General features: G+C 37.4%; 1 protein-coding gene across 5 annotated transcripts in view; it reads left to right on the forward strand.

Moving 5' to 3' along the window:
* Positions 1 to 18,703, forward strand: part of ANAPC4 (anaphase promoting complex subunit 4) — a 41,236-nt gene extending 22,533 nt beyond the window's left edge. For 3 of the 5 annotated variants that reach the window (NM_001286756.2, XM_011513838.2, XM_005248159.2), the window contains 13 exons: positions 3,176 to 3,231; positions 5,778 to 5,827; positions 7,034 to 7,090; positions 7,402 to 7,458; positions 9,903 to 9,996; positions 13,850 to 13,947; positions 14,529 to 14,590; positions 14,671 to 14,709; positions 14,804 to 14,905; positions 15,671 to 15,745; positions 16,630 to 16,803; positions 17,821 to 17,944; positions 18,360 to 18,703. In NM_001286756.2, the coding sequence (NP_001273685.1) occupies positions 3,176 to 3,231; positions 5,778 to 5,827; positions 7,034 to 7,090; positions 7,402 to 7,458; positions 9,903 to 9,996; positions 13,850 to 13,947; positions 14,529 to 14,590; positions 14,671 to 14,709; positions 14,804 to 14,905; positions 15,671 to 15,745; positions 16,630 to 16,803; positions 17,821 to 17,944; positions 18,360 to 18,587 (1,216 nt within the window). In that variant the 3' untranslated portion in view covers positions 18,588 to 18,703. Of the gene's footprint in view, positions 1 to 3,175; positions 3,232 to 5,777; positions 5,828 to 7,033; positions 7,091 to 7,401; positions 7,459 to 9,902; positions 9,997 to 13,849; positions 13,948 to 14,528; positions 14,591 to 14,670; positions 14,710 to 14,803; positions 14,906 to 15,604; positions 15,746 to 16,629; positions 16,804 to 17,820; positions 17,945 to 18,359 lie in introns of those variants that run through there. The other 2 variants (NM_013367.3, XM_047450152.1) reach the window with 2 other exon arrangements.
* The last annotated feature ends 5,313 nt before the right edge of the window (positions 18,704 to 24,016 follow it).

Here is a 24,016-nt window from a genome sequence, read left to right on the forward strand (position 1 = left end):
TGGGACTGGATGAGGTAATGAGTGTGCACAGAGAACAGGAGTGACCTGATTTAAGAATGGGGACGATGAAGAACTAGCAAAGGAAATGGGAGAGACAGAACAACCAGAGGAGTAGGCGTCCTGCAGGCTGAGTGAAGAAGGCATTACAAGAAGGAATGAGGGATTGGTTGACAGATGCTAAGTCAAGCAAGGGAAACACCAAGAATAGAATAGAGTCTTAGAATATTATTAGGATAGTGACCTTGATAAGAGCCACCTTAGGGAGTGATGGGAGCTGGTACGATACAGAATAAGAGCAGATGCAGAGAAGACAGCAAATATAGCCTCTTGAGGAGTTTTGCTGTAAAGGGAATGGCCAGTAGATGGAAGCAGAATTGCTGGGGTTTTTTCTTCTTTTTATCTTGGGAAGAACTGGAGCATGTTTATGTATGGATGGAATGATCTAGAAGGTAAAAAATTGAGATGAGAGAGGAGAGGCTATAAAGAGTGTGAGAGAGGTGGGACCTAGTGCAGAAGGGAAAGGGTTGGAAAAGCAGAGGTAGGAGCTCATCAGTTGTAGGAGGAAAGGCTGAGAGAGGAGGGTCACAGAGGCCAGTGTATGAGCAGGTGGGAGATAGGGGACGTTCCCTTCAAGGTGCTTTTATTATCCTAACAAGACATCTGTCATCAGCTGAGAGTAAGGATGGGGAGGCGGTGTTGGAGGTTTAAGAATACAAGGAGAGCTGTGAAGCAGCTGTCTAGTCCAGCAGGAGATCGAGTGCACTAATGGAACAGGAGGGCTCTGGGAGTGGGAAAGTGAGGCCAGCCAGCATGGCTGCAGGTCTGCTGCAGGAGTGGGGCACAGAGCAGGGGAGCAGTTAGATTTACCAGACTTCATGAGTAAAATGAAGCAAGAGGAGCAAGAGAATTGTAGCAAGGACCAGGTTAAAATGATGGCCGTTGAATCTGAACTACTTTAGGAAGGAAGTGAGGACATGTAGGGGCTGAGAGATGGTGAAAGGTAGTAGAACCAGTAGATGATGCGTCCTGGTGGGAGGAAGGTGGGGGCCCTGGAGAGAGGCTGGACAGATAGGAGGGGGTGTTTGGTCAGTGGGATGCTTGAAATTGAGACTTAGAAGGGTTGCAGTTGGTGATGACAGCCTCTGGGGTGTGAACTTTGGAGTAAATGTCTAAGGTCGGGTTGGAGGACAGGATCATTAAACTGAACCATTCTCTTCAATTTCTTATTATAGCAGTTCTTTCTTTTAATTTCTCAAAGTGTTCTCCTGTTTCTTTAATCCTCGTTCAAAACTTTGCTTTCGTTTTGTGGATGTGACATCTCACATCTTTCTGAGGATATTAATTAGATTGCTGTTCCCTGAATTATCTTCCCTTGATGGGTCACTTTTCTGTTTATCTTAGTCTCTCCTTGCAAGGTTTCTTTAAATACCAGATGCTTGGTTGCTTACTCATGTTTATTCAGGAGGCAATTTAAAGTTGCTTGGAATCTGTGTAGGTTGGGGCAGCAGGGAGCAGGTGCCAGAGTGTGTGGAGCTTTGCTTCAGGATACTGGTGCCCACGTGAAAGTGCCTTAGCTCTTCCCACTTTACTCAGTTTCTCTGAGGAATCCTCTGTTTGTTTTTGACTGGAGAGTAGCCCCCTAGGCATTCTTCATGTTTTGGAGGAAAGAACGTATTGACCACTCTGTGTTATATTTTCAGTTTGTCCCCCTGTGTCCAGCCCCACACATCACCCTGAGGTCTTCTGTTAGACCTGACATTGCTAAGGTCTGAGCATCCCTGGGCTTCTCCAAGGCGGAGGCTCCTTCCCAGCTGCCCTCTCCGTGCACTGCGTGGCACAGGGCCTACGCTCTTAAGCCACATCAGTCACTTTTGCTGTTGAGCTGCATCAGTCTTCCGTCACTTTTGACATTTCTGAAATTTAATTTCTTTTCTATTGTTCTTTTTGTTTTTGTGAGTTTCTAACACATGTACCCCTCTCCATCCACAGCCATTTTAATGGTATTTTAGAAGGTAGAGGCTGTAGATGTGTGTGCTCAGAAGACAAAAAAAACACGAAGAGAAATGGCATTGCTTTTCCTGTATTTCGAAGTATTTTTTGGTTCACCGTATTTGCAGAGAGCAGATATAAAATACTACGCTTTCTATGATCACTTCTCAGTATGAATGAAAGGTAGTTTAACTTATTGTTCTTTCAGGTAAGTAGAATTATTACAGGTTCCAGATGGAGAAACTGAGGCATTGAGCATTTTGATGTTGGTCTGGTGGCCTGGGGTAGGGTTGAACATATTGACTGCACAAAGGAACTTTTTTTCTTTCTCTTATCATTGCTGCAAGAGGGTTTTGATTATATTGCTTAGTAACATAAGAGATGTTTCAGTCTTTTATTCCAAGCGTTTTACTTTGTACTGAAAGGTTAATGATACTGACCTACCTCTTCATTGGTATTATGAAACTTAATGCTTGGAAAGGGCTTTGAGATTTGGGAATGAAAAGCACAGGTTTTTGCCTAGAATAATTATCGTATACATGTGAGCTTAAAGAGATTGTTTAAAAAGTGATAACCCATGTCTGTATTCAGAAACAGTTTTATCAAAATGAAGATGACTTCCATTTATAACACTTAATTTTGGGGGTACATTTGTGTAAAGCCAAGGGAAATTCAACTTTTGAGATCTCAATTGTTAGGATAAAAAATCAGCTTCCAAAAATAATGGTCCATTGATATCAGAGGTAATGACAGCACAAATTTGTAATAATGGTTTTCTGTTGAAGTTGATGTTTTTTCTTCTTACTGACCAATGAGTATTTTCTTTTAAAATGAGAATAATGCTGAAAACTGTTTTTTCTGATTTCTTTTATTTGCAAAGTTAGAAAAGGAGTTCATGCTTTACTGAGTCATAAGAAAGACTATTACACAGTTTGTGGCAAGGCTCTTGTAACCAGTTGGAATCTAAGTTATTTGCTTTATTTTTATAATCAGTATTTTCTTTTTTGAAATTTTATTTTTAGGTAGGCGTTTGATTTGTAATATCTGCTGTTCTAAAGACTTAAATGTCACCCAGATAGGATAAAATAGAACAGTAAGGATTATGATATTTCCTGACAGTTGAGTAGGATGTATGAATCCCCCACACACTAATCTTATTTCTGATTTTTTGTTTTTATCTCTTTAGAGTTATAGATAGTAGTATGAAAAACTTCAAAGCATTTTTTCGGTGGCTTTATGTGGGTAAGTTAATTGAGTGAAGCATTTTTATTTTAACACTTTAAAAAAATTATAGGAGTATTATCTTAGACTGTTTCAATAAATCTAGTACAATTTCAAATACTTTGAGAGAACTATATAATGATCCCTGTTGTACCTTTCACCTAGCTTCAGCAGTTATCAACACATGGGCAGTCTTACTTTATTCATACACCCAGCTCACCACAGAAATATTTATTAATTTTTTATTAGTATTTAATAAATATACATATTTTTGGAGTACTCATGATAATCTAATACATTCATATAATTTGTAAAGATCAAATCAGTATAATTGGGATATGTATCACCTTAAACATTTTTCCTTGTGCTAGAAACATTCCTCACAGAACTGTTAAAGCTAACTTGTAGTCTGTTATCCCTGTCGCTCACTGATAGTTCACATTTTTTACTTTATAATGTCTCCTTAGGTTAAAATAACATTTTAAAAAATTTTTGTAAGTATCAGGCACTGTTAGGTGCTAGATTTTAAAAGTAAAAAAGAAAAAAAAATAAGAGTCTCTGTCCTTGGGTAGCTTATCTTCTGTGTGATTATTTCGTCTTCTGTCTTTAGATCTCTGCTGTCCACTGTGGTAGCCACTAGCAACATGTGGCTATTTAAGTGGATTGAAATCCTATAAAACTGTATATTTGGTTCCTTAGCCATACTGTCCACATTTGAGGTTCTCAGCAGCCACAAATGGTTAGTGGCCACACAGAAGTAGAACATTTCCATTACCACTTCTATTGTGTATTGATGCTCCAGCTAAATAGAATGCAGACCACTTACAGCCTGTCTTTGTGTCTTCACAATGTCTTTGCATTTGGGCAGGTAGTTAGTAAGTATTTGCTGACTTGATATTAAATGTTTTGTATTCACTCTGCAGTATATGCATATTTTATTTAGGTCCATTTATATTGCTATTTTTGTGAACTCTCAATATCCTTAAAATAATCCAGCATCTATTTCCCTCCAACAAATGCAAAATTTAGTGTTAATGTAATTTATCTCACACTTGTTGAAACTCTAAAGAGTAAAATAGAATGAAAATTACCTGTAATGTGCTGATATCCTTTAAACAAATGTCCAGATCTTCAATTCTAATATTGTAAAAACAGACTATATTTTTCAACCTAACATAATTGCTTTTGTTTAAAAACTGAATGTGATCTGCCTATGTTGATACTTGAAATTTTTTGATATTTCTGAAAACTGTACCAATACTAACCAGAATGAGGAACCAGAGAGCTTATCAGGCTGGCCTGTTTAAGATCCATGTTGTTAATTGGAATAAATTACAATATTAAAACTGAATGAGACCTTAGAAGACTTTTTTTTTGCAGAGGTAGTTTGGTTTTACTTATAATTATTGGAGGTAATTTAGGCAGTGTCTATCCTTACTACACATTCTAACTGTAGTAAGAATCAGGATTGTCCTTACTACACATTCTAACTGTAGTAAGAATCTAACTGTAGTAAGAATCCTTACTACATATCCTAACTGTAGTAAGAATCCTTACTACATATTCTAACTGTAGTAAGAATCAGAACTGTAGCACTGTGGTACTCTTATTCAGGATTAGGAGAGAAATGGCTTACCGCTCGGTCCTTCTCATTAGGGCAGGACATTGTAGAAAGCACACTGGATTGGAGAAGTGGAGATCTACTTGTAATCCTGGCTCTGTCCCCAGTAGATACCTGTATAACCTTGGTTTTCTTCTTTGTAAAATGTAATCTCCATGAAGGCAGGGATATCTTTTATACTGATATATTGCTAGCACCTAGGGTATGCTCAATAAGTAGTTTTTTTGGATGGATAAGAATGAGTGGAACTAGATTTTAGCTCCCCTTTCAGATAACTTAGATGTTTAAATTAATTAAAAAACAGTTATGTATTTGCAAAAGTACTTCTGACTTGCTTGTTACTGACCAAATGCAATTAAGAACCATGTTCAAATACCATGCAGAGGCACATAAAACATACTTTGTCTTGACTTAGGTGGAACGTAATACAAAACACATAGTACTGATGAGGACAATCCTGTGAAAGGACGGAGAGAGTCAACCACAGATACTAGATCAAAGAAAAGTACATAAATATACTGTAAGCGCGTAGCAGAAAAGACCAAGGGAAATAAACAGATTTCTTTGGTATCATAAGGCTTTGGAGGAAAAAATGGCTTGCAGATTTTAAGAGCAGAAACATCACCAGGTTAAAAGGAGGGATCCTTACACACGTAGTCTTAGCACAGACAGCAGTTAGATTTGTCTGGCGTGGCAACAGGTGGAATTGAAGAGGAAAAAGAATAGTTTAGAATGGTTAGACCAACAATTTTGAACCTGAAAATATGAATCAAATTTAAGTTCTGGCACCCCTTAGTTTTTGGAAGAAAAATGTTTTTGTTGGTGAAAAGCTGTGTAAAATTGAAGATTTAGTTCAGTCAAACACCTTGTCTTTGAAATGTATTTATAATTAAAATTATGTTTGTAGTTTGCTTTTAAAGATAGTTTTTTAACTTTGTATTTCCAGCAATGTTGAGAATGACAGAAGACCATGTGCTTCCCGAGCTGAATAAGGTAGTATGTACTAGTGCATTTTCACAGTGTTCACATTGTCCTGCTTGAACTCAGCTGTGCTGGTCATTTTGGTACTCTTATTCAGTTATTAGTTAACAGGATGTCAGGATGTAGACGTTAGATCCCTTAAGCACCACCTTTTTAAAAAAGAAATTTGCATGTTTTGTGTATTGTTTCATCTCATAGAATACCTTTATTATGACTATCTAAATTTATAGTTTTCATGTTTGGATAAGGTTTTATAATACATGTAAGACAGCATCCTTGTATTCCTTACTTTGACTTCCTTAAATTTTAAATGCTTCTTATTTTCCTTGGAAATCAGGTGCTTAGATATTAGTCCCTGTGTTGATGTCTGGTAAGCAACAGTTTCTTTCTAAAGAAAGGAAGGAAGGATTCCTGTAAGGACTGTGACAACCAGTGATGGAATCTTCTTCCAGGGAAGTCTTACGGAATAGGGCAGAATTTCCACTTGATTCTTGCAGCTCACTCTTCTTCACCCCTGCTGAAACTGTTGATAGGTTAGGTAGTTTTGAGCCTGAAAAAATGGACAGCATTAAAATTAGCCTCATGAGCTAGATGAGAAAGGGTTCCTCCACTTTCTACAACTCGTTTGCTAAGTCGATCTTTTGCACTGTGGGTGACTGGCCTTGCAAACCAGGAAAGTTTCACAATAGTTGTTTTTCTGACATCACTGTTAGCTTTATTTTGGGAGTAAAATATGTCAGTTGTTGGAAGGGATCCTAAGGTATAATTTTCTGAGGGCTGAAGAACTAAATTGGGATAAATTCAGGTCACTGCAAGAAGCAGGAGCCTACACTGAAGCAGACAGCACTGTTTGCCTGCAGCCCTTAACTAAGGGTGACACATCTTATCTGGGGTCCAGTTCTCATTTCCAAAGGAGGGACCTCAGCACATGTGGTCTTAGCACAAGGCCTGAAATAATAAACAACCTTAGGCCATAAAGAGTTCTGTAGCTATTGGATTAACTGATTGGAAGATGAGTTCACATGTTTAATTACATTCTCGGAACCCCAGGCGTTCATATTTTCACAGTCGCATAATCTATATTTCTTTGAAAGAACTTTGCCAGTTTTCCCATGGCTTTTAGTAGATAGTAAAAATGTCACATTTATAATTATGTACCATTTCTTTTATTGAGCAGCTTTCTTTTATCTTGATTTTTCTTTTTGTTCCTTTTGTTGATAGATGACTCAGAAAGATATCACATTTGTTGCTGAATTTCTTACTGAACATTTCAATGAGGTAAGAAGTTGATATTTCTGTAATGCAGTTTAAAAAAAAATTACAGTAAACCTGGATAATGACAAGACATAATTAAATTTAACCCAATTTAATTGAAGTCTATAGCAATTACTTTTTTAAAACTGTTGAACTAATTATGTTTATAAACATAGTCAATAAACCAGACTTTTGTTTGTGTGTCTTATAATCTATAAAAGAAAATAATAACTGCCACTCACAGCTCTCTTGAAAAGGAAGGTTTTGGGTTTAAATTTAAGATATTTTTCTTCGTGAGTTGACTTAAGAATTAAACTATGTTTATTTTTTTCCAGGCTCCAGACCTTTATAATCGAAAAGGAAAATACTTTAACGTTGAAAGAGTTGGTCAGGTATGGGCTTTGAACTCATTTTAAAACCTTAGCAGTGTTCATCTTTGTTATCCAAAGTCTCTGGAAAGAATTACAATACCAAGTAATACAGGATCTCTGCCCTTTTAGTAAAATTAACAAAGAGCAGCAGTTTTTAAACATTTTGATCTGAGAACACTTTTACATTCTTAAAAATTATTGAGGACTAAAAATACAAAAATTAGCTGGGTGTGGTGGTGGGCACCTGTAATCCCAGCTACTTGGGAGGCTGAGGCAGGAAAACTACTTGAACCCAGGAGACAGAGGTTTCAGTGAGCCAAGATCAAGCCACTGCACTTCACCCAGGGCGACAGAACAAGACTCTGTCTCAAAAAAGAAAAAAAAAAATTATCGAGGACTAGAAAAGAGCTTTTGTTTATGTGAGTTGTTATTTATTGCTGATAGGCATTATTAGGTATTAAAAATTAAACATAATAAAAAATTATTCCCTAATTCACTCAAAAATAGAATATACCAGCCAGGCATTGTGGCTCATGCCTATAATCCCAGCTACTCGAGAGGCTGAGGCATGAGAATTGCTTGAACCCAGGAGGTGGAGGTTGCAGTGAGCCAAGATTGCATCACTGCACTCCAGCCTGGGTGACAGAGGGAGACTCAGTCTCAAAAGAAAAAGAAGAAGAAAAAAAAGAATATACCCATTACTATTACATGTTAATATAAATATTTTTAGTGAAAAATAATGAAATTTTACAATATAATTTAGTTAAGAGTGGTAACGTTTCATATTGCAAACCTCTTTGATGTCCAGCCTAATAGAAAACAGCTGGATTCTCATATCTGCTGCTACATTCAGTCTGTTTCGATATGTTGTTTCTATAGTATCAGTGTATATGAAAAAAGTCTGGCCTCACACAGGTGTGTATATGAAAAGGGAGAAATATTCTATTAGCTTTTTCAGATAATTGTGACTTTGCTTTATTATATCAAATGTGGACAAGTGATAGTATCTTAAAGGTTTGTTTCAGTGTGGAATCTAAAATTGCATCAGTGAACGTTTTTTACATTAAAATTCATTCATCTTCTTGCACTTTGAACGGATCTTTTGTCCACGCATAATTTTGTAACATCCTGCTTTGGTCATTTGGGAAGTATTGGTTCCCTGAGTCATCCAGCTGTTCTAAATGCCGCCACCTTTTATCAAACTATAAGCTAGATTTCATTAATAGCACCACCAATTTAATCAGAAAAGTCTTTGTGTTGTGAAGCACACAGGGGCAGATGCAGGTTTTCCAAAAAAAAAAAAAATTTTTTTTTTTTTGAGACAAGATATTTCCTCTGAGTAGTACAGTGGTGCAATCACAGCTTACTGCAGCCTCCACCTCTCGGACTCGCCTCTTGTAGCTGGGGCTACAAGCACACACCACCATGCCTGGCTAATTTTTGTCTTTATTTTGTGGAGACCTGCCATGTTGCCCAGGCTGGTCTTGAGCTCCTGGGCTCAAGTGATACGCCTGCCATGGCCTCCTAAAGTGCGGGGATTACAGGCATGAACCACCGTGCCCAGCCTATTTTTGCTTTTAACATAAGTGCTTTTCCTCAAGATAACCATCATACTTTGTGTAGCAAAAGTTCCTATGTATAACTCTCAATTCTGTCACACAGAATATTAAAGATTCGTACTCAAGGGTTGAAAATAAAGTTAATAATTTAATGACTTCATTAAAGATAAATGAAACTATGAGTATGTGGCAGAAAAAGAATACAGTGACTGCTGGTATGATTTGGGACTACTACCTTGACTCTTGGCTGAGACACTTACAGCTTTCCCCACCATCAGTACAAATGTTAGCATAGTGTAAAGGGCAGGTGACAGCTACATTATTATAAAACTAGTATTGACTTTGTGGATCCCCAAAAGCATCTTGGGGATTCCCAGGGGCTTGTGGATCTCACTTGAAGAACAACTGCCATAGAGTATATTGACAGTACATTGACAATGGATACTTATGAAACTAATTTATAACTTGCATATGTTAAATTAAAATATGCTCATGAAAAAGAAACACAATTTAAGTTCGATTTGTGATCTCTACATCTACAACATAATAATCTTTTAATACTTTGTGGTTTGTTTAGTTGCTTGACTAAACAAACTACCAACTGTTCAGCAGTTTCTTTAATTTTTAAGATAGTAGCTAGCTAACATTTATGGAGGGCTTAATTCTGCCACATACACATAGCAGATTTTGGCTACCTCACTTAGAATGATAGTAATGCACTTTCAGAGGACTTGGCAATAAAACAAAGTAACTTATTAAGTTAAAAAAGTGTTAAAAATAAACCGATTTTAGGCCCTAAGTCTTTGATTTACTAAACTTAACTTTTTTTTGTCTTTTACTTTTTTTCTTTTTCCATTTTCCCTTCCAGGTATGAATAAACTTAAATTTCTAATTCTGTATTTCTAGTACTTGAAAGATGAAGATGATGATCTTGTGTCACCCCCTAACACAGAAGGAAACCAGTGGTATGACTTTCTTCAAAATAGCAGCCACCTTAAAGGTACTTCATGAACCAACCAGATTTTGGCCATTTTTGTTTTTATTTAAGACTAGGTCTTGAATAGTTCTGCTAACAGTTTTGCTGAAAACTTGCTGAACACTTACCTAAGTTTATTAGACTTATATTTATTTGATTATAGGAACAGCAAAATAACCAATAGTGTATGACATCACCATGATAGATAGAAGACACTCTGAAGTTAACTACGCTGTAGGAAGATTGCTTATTCCTAAGTGTTCTCATATAAGTGTTTTGCACCCTGTAAAAAATAGGATTTTGAGGGAAACTATAGAGCCAAATAGTGAGAAAAGTCTTTTTTGCCAATTCCAATTTATTATCTTCTGAAAGCACAGGGATGCTCAACTGTATTCTCCTCGGGTTGTAGTTGGTGTGTGTGTGTGTGCATGTGTACTTGTTATACCTTTCATTTTCTAGAATGTCAGAATGTTAATACCGTAAAGCTATCCAGCATTATTAGGGATGCAGCACATAATAGCAACCATTAAATATGCCAGCACATCTTACCATTTTAGATGAAAATATTTTAAAGCTCGTATTTCTTTGATGTCTGAAAGAATAATCTGACCAGATTTAGCAATTGCTTAGATCTTTAAGGTAGTGGGTGCTTAGTCTAACTAAACATTTATGGGGTGCTTAGTCTGCCATATACACACAATACCTGCTTTAATCCTCACAAGATTCTATGGGTAGGTACTTGGTATCACCATTTACTAATGAGGAAACAGAAGGTTAGAGAAGCCCAGGATCACACAAGCTGGTTAGTGATGGAGCTAGGATTCTGTTAATGTGAAAGCCTGAGGTTTTAACTAGACTGGCAGTACAGGTTGAGCATCTTAATCCAAAAATCTGAAATCTTAAAATGCTCCAAAATCTAAAACTTTTTGAGCACCGACATGACACCACTAGTGGAAAATTCCATACCTGACCTCATATGATGGGTCCCAGTCAAAATGCAGTCAAGACTTTGTTTCAAGCACAAAATTATTAAATATATTGTATAAGATGTACATGAAGCATAAATGAATTTCGTGTTTAGACTTGAGTTCCATCCCCAAGATATCTCATTATGTATATGCACATATTCCAAATTCCAAAAAAATCCCAAACACTTACAGACCCAAGCATTTTGGGTAAGTGAAACTCAACCTATAGCAATTTCTGCCACTTGTATTTGGTTGCTGCTTCTGTGAATGAATGAATGAATGAATGAATGAATGAGGGAGAGAATTCTTTGATGCCAAGAACTTTGCATATAGTCCAAATTCTTTTTCAAGGCAGAACCTATTATGTATTGCCAGAGAGTCTTGAGGTCAGTAAGGAGATGCATTGGTGCAAGTTGGCTATTGAATGGAGGGAGGATAAAGGTACAGGAGACGCTACTTATTTACTGTATTTAATCAGGATGCCCAGGGAATAAGGCAGGATGTCTGGAGAGGGTCAGTGGCAGTGCGTCAAGAGTAGTGGCACCTGGACCCTGTTGCTATTTTGGCTATTATTGATCCAGGGAACTTTGCCAGGCTAAAAATAGGTCCTGTCCTCTTTTATTTGCCCCACATCTTACGTGTTTGAATAAGAAAGGCCTGATCTTAGCTACAGACCTAATGGAACTCACTATTGAGTTCCATAATGAATTCTAGTGAGGAAATATCAGTGAAACTGTTTTCTTACACTGCAAAAATCAAGTGCTAAATACTTGATCTGTGTACTTTCTTTAGGGTACATGGGTCAGTATTGTGTGGTGGGTAAAAGTTGGTGCTCTGAAAGCTGGATTTTCTGGGTTGGAAGCTGCTCTACTACTTCGTAGTAACACGGCTGAGAGCAAGTTGCCTAACCTCTCTGTGCCATAGTTTCTCATCTGTAAAATGAAGATGGTAATAATGCTGCCCTCAAAAAACTGGTGTGGAGATTAAATAAATTAATCTACATAAGCACTTAGACTAATGCCTGGCACTTAGCACAGAAGCAGTCTGTAGGTTAGTGTCTGAGCACTTTTTACTCAGTGTTTCTGACAACAAAATGAGAGAAATTTTTTTCCTCCTGACACCAACCAATTTTGACACCAACGGGGTGTCCTACAATTCAATTCTGACACGAATTACAGATAGTTAGCGCAGACCTCACAGGATAAGGATGCAGTCCCACAAGACTGCCCTCGCGTCAAATGTCAGGTCTCTGGGTCCCCACATCTCTTGGGTAGCCATGCTTGTTGTCTGACTTGGCTATAAGGTTAAGGTCAAGAGTTCCCAGAACCTTCCTCCCTTTCAGGTTGGATAATTTTGCTAGAATGGCTCACAAAACTCCGGGAAACATATAATTTTTGTTTACCAGTGTGTTGTAAAGAATATGACTCAGGAACAGCCACATAGAAGTGCTATATCAGGCAGGGTATGGAGAGAAAGGTGCAAAGCTTCCATGCTCTCCCAGCACCTGGACATATTCACCACCCAGAAAGTTCTCTGAACCTCATTGTCCCAGTGTATTTCTGGCGGTTTCATTATGTAGACATGATTGATGAAGTCATTGGCCATTGGTGATTGAACTCAACCTCCAAGCCCCTCTCTCTTCCTTGGAGGCTGGCGGGTGGAGCTGAAGTTTCCAAACTTCTAATCAAGGCTTGGTCTTTTTGGTGGCCAGCCCCTATCCTAAAGCTATCTAGGTGCCAGCCAAGAGTTGCCTCATTAAAACAAAAGATGGTAGTCCTAGCACTTTGGGAGGGTGAGGTGGGCGGATCACTTGAGATCAGGAGTTCGAGACCTGACCAACATAGTGAAACCCTATCTCTACTAAAAATTAGCTGGGTGTGGTGGTGTGCACCTGTAGTCCTGTTACTCGGGACACTGAGGCAGGAGAATCGCTTGAATCCGGGAGGCAGAGTTTGCAATGAGCTGAGACTGCACCACTGCACTCCAACCTGGGCAACAGAATGAGACTCTGTCTTTAAAAAAAGAAAAAAAAAAATGTTCCTGTCACCTTTATCACTCAGGAAATTCCAAGGGTTTTGGAAGCTCTGTTCTAGGAACTAGAAACAAAGATCAATGTTTTTCTGTGATAACATAGCATCTGTCACCTTGAGAACTTAAAATGTTAATGTGATTGTAGTTCATTTTATCCAGCATGGCTTTATCTAAGGGAGGGCCTACAAAGCACAGTGGAAGAGGGTGGGCATTAGAGTCAGACTTGGGTTTGATTGACAGAACTAGATACTTAGTTATTTTCACACTGGGCAATTGCCTAAACCTGTTAAGCTTCATTTTTTTTTTCATCTGTAAATTGGAGAATATGGTGTTTACTTCATATGGCTATTGTAAGCAATAAAAAAAAAGGTATTTTAAACACCTAGCATAGCAGGTGTTAGTGCTAAATTATATATTACTTTCTCCTGATAAAGTAACCTTTTAAAAAGTAAAGAGCTTATTTATATAGAGCTAGTTTCCAGTCTCTTGTTTTAGAGACTTAAAAAACAGTACTGGACTGCTGTTGTTGTTTCACTGTGGCAAAGAATAGAAGAATGAATTTTATTTCATCATATATTTGATGGTTCCCAAATCATTCCTTGCTTCTTATAGCCAGCAGAAACCTACAGTTGGATTTTGGTGAGTCTAAGTTTGTAGTAAGTGAGATTGTTTTTAGTGAGCTGTCAGCGGGGGTTGATGAAAGGCAGAAGACCATGGTCGTTTTTAATGAGGTTGTGTGAAAATCCAATGAAGTGGTCAGTGAAAATTCTACCTCGAGATAAACTGTGCAGACTGGCTCTAACAGTAGATTATTTTCTTCTAATTATAAGTTTGCTATAGCTTCTTTTATTTTTGTTTCTGTTTTTGTTTGAAACCAGAAAGTCCTTTGCTGTTTCCTTATTATCCTCGAAAATCATTGCATTTTGTGAAAAGGCGGATGGAGAATATTATTGATCAGTGTTTGCAAAAGCCAGCAGTAAGTTTGAAAGAAATGCATGTCTTTGTGTAGGAGCAATAGTGTCTACAGTATGTGGCTCACTTATGTAAATGATCTTAATTTTTAGAATGAACTATGAAAATGTTGATAGTCAACTGTTTTTGATTAACAAAAGTAACAATTTCATATGGTTCAACCTAATACTCCAACTTAAGTTTCTTACACACGTGTGTGTGTGTGTGTGTGTGTATAAAGATTACTGAAGGTGTTGGCATCTTGAGTATTTTATTTGTTCCCAGAAGAAATTCATTGTAAACAGTCTTAGTTACAGAGCTGATGTGTCTCTGCTTACTACTGAAGGATGTGAATGAATGGTTGTTATGAGACCAGAGGGAGGTGGTCTTAAACCTGCCATGTGCTTAGCACCAAGGTCCTTTTCAGCTCAGAATTTTCTCTTTTTCCTTACTGTTACAATTGTCATTAACGTTTCTTATGTACAAGGTTTGGTGATGTAGGCGATTTTTTTACCACATTCGAACAGTGATGGTCAGTCACTTTCTGTAGAGTATCTGTGTGCATATTAACGCTCTAATTATATTTTAAAATCTTATTTTATATAGGATGTAATTGGAAAATCGATGAATCAAGCAATCTGTATTCCATTGTATAGAGATACCAGAAGGTAATTCTGTTTACCTATTGGATGGTGTAATTCCGCAGCCAATTTAAATTTTTCTCATTTCTTTTTCCCTTTTATTTTAGTGAGGATTCTACACGTAGATTGTTCAAATTTCCTTTTCTGTAAGTATATATTTCTTCCCTATCTTGAGTGAACAATACAATTTTGTTTTATCCATCAATAGTTAAAAAATATTATGACAATTTTTTTTCTTAGGTGGAATAATAAAACTTCAAATCTACATTATCTTCTTTTTACTATTCTAGAAGATTCACTTTATAAAATGTGCATCTTAAGGAGACATACTGATATTTCTCAGTAAGTATTAATCTGAAGTTTGAATCAAAGAGATAAGATTTTATTATTTGTAAGAATGAAGCATACAGCCTTCCAGCATTTCAGATTTTAAACTACTTTGTGACTTTTAGATGTGTCATTTAATTGTTAGTTTTCATGTCATTAAAAGGGTAACACTGAATTAGGAAGTTATATGATCTTGTTTTAGATTATTTAATTTTTATTGGCATATAATCATTGTAGGACTTTTTTTAGAGTTAGGAAAAATATGACAGCTCAGGATATTATACTTCATTTTTTAGAAGTTAAAAACTTCCGAAAAACTAAAAGTTAAAGAAGTTTTAACTTTTTAGAAGTTAAAAACTTCTAAAAGTGGCTGCCTTATAGAAATGATTTTTGCCTAGGGTTAAGTATGCTTTTCATTAAACAAGAGGCCTTGCCTAACAGAGACTTACTTTGAAATTGAAAGTAGAAGTTCTGAAAAATAAATCATATTTAGAACGCCATTGGTAGCTTAAAAATGGTTTTAAACCTGAATTTGAAGAAAATGTTGAGACCACGATGTAACCAAAAAGAAATAATTGGGTTATTTCTATTCCAAATGTCTTTGGTGACTGTGTGATTTTAAACCAAATTGGTTTATCTATCTAGGCATTTAAACAAGTTCTCAGTGTTCTAAAGAAGTACATGTACTGACCCTGACAATCATGTTCTTTTAAGCCTTTAGATTATTGACTATCCAGGTTGTTCCACAGAGTCTCTTTTTTTCCCCCTTCTTTCTTGAAGATCTGTGAGTAATGGACTAATTGCTATTAAATTTGGGAGCTTTACATATGCCACAACAGAAAAAGTCAGAAGAAGGTAAGTCTTGAATCTTGTTTGGATGAAATGTAGATACATGTGATATGTGTATATGTTTAGGAATAGGATCAGACTCAGTTACGGTGGTAATATAGGTAAAAGGGCTTTGCCACTTCCCACATCAAGGGCAGGATTCTTTGTGTATTTATACATAGAGAATGATTTGACTTGTGATTGAATAGAACCTTACTGCCCTGCAGTTTATGTCGTACGGTTTCCTATAATTAATACTCCTGAGCTCCCTGTTGACAAAGAAAGTAATGTGGTTCCCATGGGCAGATGGCCTGCAGGGCTGAAGTTCTTGTTACGACCAAAAAAAATTATGAGGTGATGCCATTCTTAGTGATGGGAGATTTTCTTAGGATTCAAAATGGTAACAGTACCTAAGCCATCCCTGAGGCTTCGCAAGGGAAAGAAGTGACTAATCATAGGCTGATCTTTTTCTCACTTTTTTCCTCACATAAAATAAGTTTTTTTATGATAAAGTCCTTGGAGTTGCTGTGCCTATTTTTCATGTGTAGTATCTTATTTTTATTTCTCAGTCTAGTCAACTCTGCTGAATGTGTATATAAGGTGTCATTCATAGAATTTCCACAGGCTTAAGGCCTAACCATTGATGGCCAGGGGCTTTCTAGAACTGAAACAACTTCACAGATTTTTGGGGGTCATGATTACCCATTTTTAAGATTTGGTTATATATGTGAATAATCAGTACAAAAAGTAACTGATTTTAATACAAACCAATGATATATTTTAAATGTTATTGTACAGAATGTCACTTAACTTTTAAATTTTTTTCTGCTTGCTGCCAGTATAACATGCATACAATATTTTCTCAGTAGTCACGATCATCTTTGATATAACAAAACTTATTTTAATTCTAGCATCTACAGTTGTTTAGATGCACAGTTTTATGATGATGAAACTGTAACAGTAGTTCTTAAAGACACTGTAGGACGTGAAGGAAGAGATAGACTCTTGGTCCAGCTGCCTTTGTCTTTAGTATATAACAGTGAAGATTCTGCAGAATATCAGTTCACTGGGACTTATTCTACAAGGTAACTAGTAACATTGTCTTTCTGATATTACAGTTAAATGTTTTTTTAATGCACATTATAAATTCCAACCTTTTAGGTACGCTAGATAATGGTTATTTCGTTACTAGAGATAACCACAGAGGTAGCTGAGCAGAAATGCTCCAATTTTTCATTCAAAATATGCTGGCCTTAATAGCTTTTTTTGTCCCTTTGCTTTACTAGTAAATCAGGAAGTATTTGCTGGAATCAAGGTGGGGAATTATTTGGAGTGGATAATGGGACTTCTTTTAGTTACATTTTTAAGGATAGCATTAACCCTAGTTGGTTGGAATTAGTTATTTTTGATTTGCCTTCAGTATTTTCCTTCCAGAATTAAGACCTCAGTACCCATGTAGGAAGTATACTGTCAATTCCAAGAGATGGCTTTAATTGACTGAGACTTAAGTAAGCAGATCTCTAATTTAAAAATGTATCCATTTGCTTTCTTTGAAAGGGAGTCAGAAACCTTGCTAAGATGATATTCTGCCTGTTTGGAATTACAGTATTTCTTTTCTTTTTTTTTTTTGAAACAGGGCCTCTCTTTGTCACCCAGGTTGGAGTGCAGTGACGCAATCATAGCTCACTGCAGCCTCCAACTCATGGGCTCAAGTGACCCTCCTGCCTCAGCCTCTCATAGCTGGGACTACAGGCATGTGCCACCTTGCCTGACTAATTTTATTTTTTTACAGAGATAGAGTCTTACTATGTTGCCCAGGCTGGCCTTGAACTCCTGGACTCAAGCAATCCTCCCACCTTGGCCTCGCAAAGTGCTGAGATTCCAGGCATGAGCCACTGTGCCTAGCCAGAATATAGAATATGGAATTTTTATAGAATATTATATCACAGCTTTTTTTCTAACACAACAGTTGCTAAAATTATATTGGAAATAGAAGTATGAGTAGAAGTCAAAACCATAATTGACCCTAATACCACCTGTAGTAAAACTAGGGAGGATAAGATCCCCTTTTCATTCCTGAGTTGGTTTTTTTCCCTCTTTAGGCTAGATGAACAGTGTAGTGCTATTCCCACCCGTACCATGCATTTTGAGAAGCACTGGAGATTACTGGAAAGTATGAAAGCACAGTATGTTGCTGGGAATGGTTTTCGAAAAGTGTCCTGTGTGGTAAGTGTTTAGAGATCGTTCAGCAACTAAGAAATTACAAGAAGTAACGTTGCTTCTTTGGAACCTTCATCAAATACATGATATATAAGGTCCTTTTGTGCAAATATTTTTACTGTGATTTATAGCTTGTATTGATTATGATCATGTGGTGGCCTTAGCTATTTAGTTCTTGTTCTGATAAAGCTTACTAAGTAGTTAATAATAATACTAGATTTTAATCTCACGAAATTGCCACTGTTGTTATGTGGAGATCTTTTTATACAAAATGAAGGCTGAATTTATTGATTTTGTTGTAAATTGATGGGAATATAACTTTCCTATAAAACCATTCTTTGATTCAGACTTCTGATTTCTAATTCTTTATATATGATAAGCCATTAATTTAAAAATGCTTTTATGGCCTTTTCTTTTTTAGTTAAGCTCAAATCTTCGTCATGTGAGAGTATTTGAAATGGACATAGATGATGAATGGGAGCTCGATGAGTCTTCAGATGAAGAGGAGGAGGCCAGTAATAAGCCTGTAAAAATAAAGGAAGAAGTGTTGTCGGAGTCAGAGGCAGAGAACCAACAAGCTGGTGCTGCCGCTTTAGCTCCAGAGATAGTCATTAAAGTGGAAAAACTTGACCCTGAGCTAGACTCCTAATCTAGCTTGCCATTATTGTGTGTGTAATTATGGCCAAAAGGACATAGGAGATGGACTAAGATGTCTTGGACCACCTTTGTGTAACAAAGAAATAAACAGTAAATTTTATTTTTTCATATTCTGCTTCATCTTCTCTTAGTGATATAGTCACTATGATAGACTTTATTTTTTCTGAGCTTTCTCTTTAATGCTATGTGCAGAACTAGTGTTTAAAGAAAACAGGGCCAGGCATGGTGGCTCATGCTGGTAATCTCAGCACTTTGGGAGTCTGAGGTGGGTGGCTCACCTGAAGTCAGGAGTTCAAGACCAGCCTGGCCAACATGGCAAAACCCCGTCTCTACTAAAAATACAAAAATGAGCTGGGCGTGGTGCATGCCCCTATAATTCCAGCCACTTGGGAGGCTGAGGCATGAGAATCGCTTAAACCTGGGAGCCAGAGGTTTCAGTGGGCTGAGATTGCGCCATTGCACTCCATCCAGCCTGCGTGATGGAGTGAGACTCTGTCTCAAAAAAGAAAGAGAGAAGGTGAACAAATTGAATATGAAGAAAAAGTCTAATCTTTTCTGTCAGAAGGGTAGGTATCAGGAATTGTTCCTGTATCATTGAAATAGTCGCTCATCACTGGAAATTTTAATGCATTTAGTATTTTAAAACTATAGACAACATTCCTATTTTTCCATCTCCCCTTCTAGTTCATTTTGGGTCTCCAGAATGATTTTAAAATTATGTTTTCAGAATATATTATACTGATTTACTGAAATGCTAAGCCAAAGGATGGATCCTGTCTTTTATGGTTTAAATAACATAAACACTGCTTGATACCTACATGGTTATCTTTTCTCATTCTGTCCCTGCATTTGAGCTCTGAGTTATTTGAATCAGCAGTGCTTAGATGTGCCCTTTTGCCTTTTCAGACTTGGTTAAGGACATATAGTAGCTGTCTGTTTGGTTGACTCCTTGAGAGTGTGAGAAATATGGGTCAACTAAATGTTATCTGGCATTAGTGCAGATAAGCTACTGTTGATTTCCTAATGCTCATTCATTCCTAAAGTACAATAGTATTCTTGTGTGACTTTCAAAGAAATTAATTTAATATATGAATTCCACTATCACTTCATCGATAATCACTTTTTAAAGCTTAAATATCTTTAGGCAGGAGGATATACTATAACCAGGTGAATGGGTAACTGCAGGGTTGCTGTGTCATTTGTCTATTTAATAGGTAGCTGTCTCTCTAGGTACTCCAGGGTACCTCTGTGAATGGAAGCCACTGTTGGGTGACATAGCATTTAGGACTGTGATCAGGAGGCTGACTATACTGATCTGTAGCCTTGCATATGATAGGCCTTAAACTCTATTAACAAATTTACGTAAATGTTTACTGACAGTTGGGCATTGTTCCTGGGGTAGTGCAGAATGTCTTGAATTAGCTTTTGTGAGCAAGAAAGGTGAACTGTGAGATGACATTACTGAAAAATTATAGGTTGTGGGTATATAGAGCATTTTTAGAAAGAATGCATTGTGCAGATTTACCATATAACATTTAAAGAGCTTTAATGGATTTTAGGAACCAATAATTAATAGCCTGTTCTTAGAAAGAACGACAGTTTCACCAGTTCTTTATTAGTTAGTAATTTGTCCTTTGTGACCTCACTGTTAGATTTATAAAGATTTTTTGATACATACACATTTGCTTTCTATGGTTCCAGCGTAGACATAAAATATGGGAGAATTGGTTTTTCAGTAATGGTTTTAATATGTATAGCAAGTAGGAACTAGAATTGTATTAAAGTGAAAAAGTTTAAATTGACATCTGAATCTCTTTTTAAGTTTTAATAAGATGCATAGAGCAGAGAATTTTATTGTATTTTTAGATATATGCTATAATTCTTGACACCACTAGACATTTTGCTTTTTTAAAAGAAAAATTTAATTTTTAATTTTTGTGGGTACATAGTAGGTATATGTATTTATGGGGCACATGAGATTTTGGTAGAGCATACAATATAGACACTTTGCTTTTAATATGTAGAGCAATTTGATCATTATACACTGGCTACTTTTAGTATGTTTAGCTGCAGATGCTGAATTTGAGCTTTGAATTTAGTGAGGAGCAAGTGAAGGGTGGGAATGTGAGGACCCTGGGAAGAGGAGCCTCCAGGTCCTGGCTCTTGTGGACCGTGGCATAAAGTGGGGTAATTGAGTGTCTCTCTCAGGGTTTGAGGACTAATGAGGGTTACTTATAGAACACTGTGGTTAGCGCATGTGAGATACCCAATAAAGACTAGCACTTCTATTTACAATATTCTATTCTGCTTTTTGCTGACATAAATTGTGTTGATTTTTTTAGAAACTTAACTAGCCTTTTTTTTTTTTTTTTTTTTGGCCAGACTTGATAGAACTATAATAGTAGTCTTTCTAATTCTCTGGCTTAGTAGGGTTTTTTGTTGTTGTTGTGTTCTTGATTTTTTTCCAATGTAAAAATTGTACACTTAGCAAAATGCTAAAATATTCTGTCTTCTTAATTTGGAACATTTGAATGTAAATGTGAAGAAAACTATTATGATATAGCCTTGAGTTTATGATGCCATAACTAGGGGAATTTATATATATTTGAGTTGATCTAAATATTTTCCCATTCTTGAGGGAAGTCCAGCAAGCAGACATGCGCTAAACACTTCTTTCTAAAGGATGCTATAATTGAAATCATGGGTTGCATTTCACCAGGAGCAAATCAGTTTCTTTGACACCTCTTTAAGTTGCAATGTTGTGGTGATTATCTACAGACTGTTTACATTTGCTAGAAGCTACAGTTGACTATCCAGCATAATATTTTTAGTCTTCACTGAGCCCAAGGAGATAGTACTTAGGATTTTATGAATTTAAGGTCACTAAAACCTTATAATATGAGAGCAAATAACATATTAGCATAGAAATGATCTCTTATGAGGAATATTCAGTTCAGAAACTCGATTATTAAATGGGTCTGGGAAATGATTTGTTAATATGGTTGATAGCCAGTGTTTACTTTCCACTTTTTTTCTTGTTCTGAGGAAATGAAAATTTCTATAACAGGATTTCTCATGAAGCACACAGTAGTACATCAGAAGTGCCAAGGCCAGTGATTAAAAATGTATGGATTTTACCCTAAGCCTACTCAATCAGAAGCTGAGGGTGAGGCCAAGACTACATTTTTAACCAACTCACTTGATCATTCTTAAACCCACCAAGGTTGAGAACCATTATTTTTCTATGAAAGCTGTGTTTTAGAAATTAGATGGTTATAATTTCTTAGTTGTAGGTTCATAAGCTGTTCCCTTGGATGCAATGAAAATTGATGTATTTTTTTTCTTTAAAAATGACCCTAACTGGTGGTTAATTACACATGCAAGTTGCTCACACTTCAATAAATCTGTTTAAATGATGGTGAGCATAATTGTACCCCAACTCCCTCTCTGCACTGCAGCATTGTAGCAATGGATCCCTTAGGGCCACATTTCAGCCCTAACAAGATTATGTTCAGCCAAGTGGGAGATAGTTGGGTATGTATGGGCTTTGCTGGTAATCAGCCATTCTAGTTCATAAATGTCACCTTTCCTCTGGTGTGTGCAGTCAGACTGAACTCACTGCTCAAGATATGAGGTGTAATGTGTAGTTATCACGGTACAGATGATAAATCTGTCCCACAACATGACTATAAGTGAAACTTATGTTTACTGGCTTATTATGTTTTAAGCAGTAAAACAAGACAAGTTTGTTGTTTGTGCTTCCTGCCATCAGATTTATGACTGAAAACTTTAGGGACTGTTTTTCTTCATTTCTGCATTCCTGATTCCTGTTACAGAGTGAATATTATTCTTTCAAGTGATATTTCTGTCCACTGTTCAGATAGTAAAACTGGGTGGAGCCCAAACTGGAGGAGTGGCCAGCTTGCTATAAATGATCCTCGTGATTGTCAGCATTTTCATGATACTGCAAAACTTTCTAACCTTGAGAATATGTTACTTCCCTTTTTCCTTTCCACCGCTTACTTTGTCCTGCCAAATTGTTGCAGGAAGAGAGATTCAAGGATTAAAAATATTTATGGGCCTGGCAGGTAGCTCACGCCTATAATCCCAACACTTTGGGAAGCCGAGGTGAGTGGATTGCTTGAGCTCAGGAGTTTCGGCAACATGGCAAACCCCGTGTCTATAAAATACAAAAATTAGCTGGGCGTGGTGGTGCATGCCTATAGTCCCAGCTACTCAGGAGGCAGAGGTGCAAGGGATTGAGCCTGGGAGGTGGAGGCTGTGGTGAGCTCTGATTGTGTCACTGCACTCCAGCCTGGGTGACAGAGACCTTGTCTCAAATAAATTATATGTATGATATATATGTGTGTGTGTGTGTGTGTGTGTGTGTGTGTGTATGTATATATGTATACATATATATATATATCCTCGTTCTCTTGGGATGGAAAGTTAAGATCTAGCGGCAGAGTGTGGATAGCAAAGGGGCTGGCTGAGACCATTGTTCTGGGGCCCTGCAAGGTGTAGGGCCCATTTTCTCCACTGGAGAAGGAGGAGACTACATGGCCCAGGTGGCAGGACACCCAAGTGACCAGTTCAATGGACACCTTTCAGGCTGGTGTAGTCAGGCATATCAGATGCTGCGGAGAAACAGCGAGATGGAAAATTGCCCATTACCTCTGAAAAGCTGCATGTCAGTTGTGACCCTGATAGAAACTTGGAGGCGTGTTGAGGACAGGAGCCCTATTGAAATGGGTGTAGAATGGATGTGAGGTGAGTCAGTGGAGGCCAAGTGGAGGCAACTCTGGAGGATTTTGCTGTGAGGGGCACAGAGATGGAGTGGTGGCAGGGGAGGGAAATGGCACCAGAGAACTTTTTTTAGAAAGATGGATGATACTAGGCATCTTTATTCGTCAATATGAGTGATCCACCAAAGAAGGAGAAATTGACCATTCTAGAGTAAAAGGAGATGCGCTGGAAGAAATCCTTGAGAAGGCTAAAAGGGCTAGGGCCCAGTGACCATTGCAGGGATCGAGCGTAGGGTGGAACATGACTTTCTTCCACCCTAATGGGAGTCTGTGGGGACAGGTGCTGGTGGGTGCAGCACCGCGTGGCAGGTGTAGCATTTTTCCCTCGGAGAGAAGTGTTCAGGTCTTTATGGAGAGTGATGAGGAGAGGAGAGGTAGAAAATAGGTGTCTCAGATTGGAAAATGAGAGAATTATGGAGTTTTAGAATCAGAGGGATAGAAATAAAGAGGCTATGACCAGAGAAGAGACATTGGCAGTCTTAGGGAGGTGGTGAAGTCTCTGATGACAGGTATAACCATGGCAGTTGGCAGCTGCTATTGGTGTGAAGGGGAAAGTCACTGGAGCCAAGTAGATTCAGAGCTGAGTGGCTGGGGTTTTGGATGGCTCATCTGTGTG

The sequence above is a fragment of the Homo sapiens genome, chromosome 4, assembly GCF_000001405.40.
Source record: "Homo sapiens chromosome 4, GRCh38.p14 Primary Assembly".
In the NCBI taxonomy this organism is placed as follows: Eukaryota; Metazoa; Chordata; class Mammalia; order Primates; family Hominidae; genus Homo; species Homo sapiens.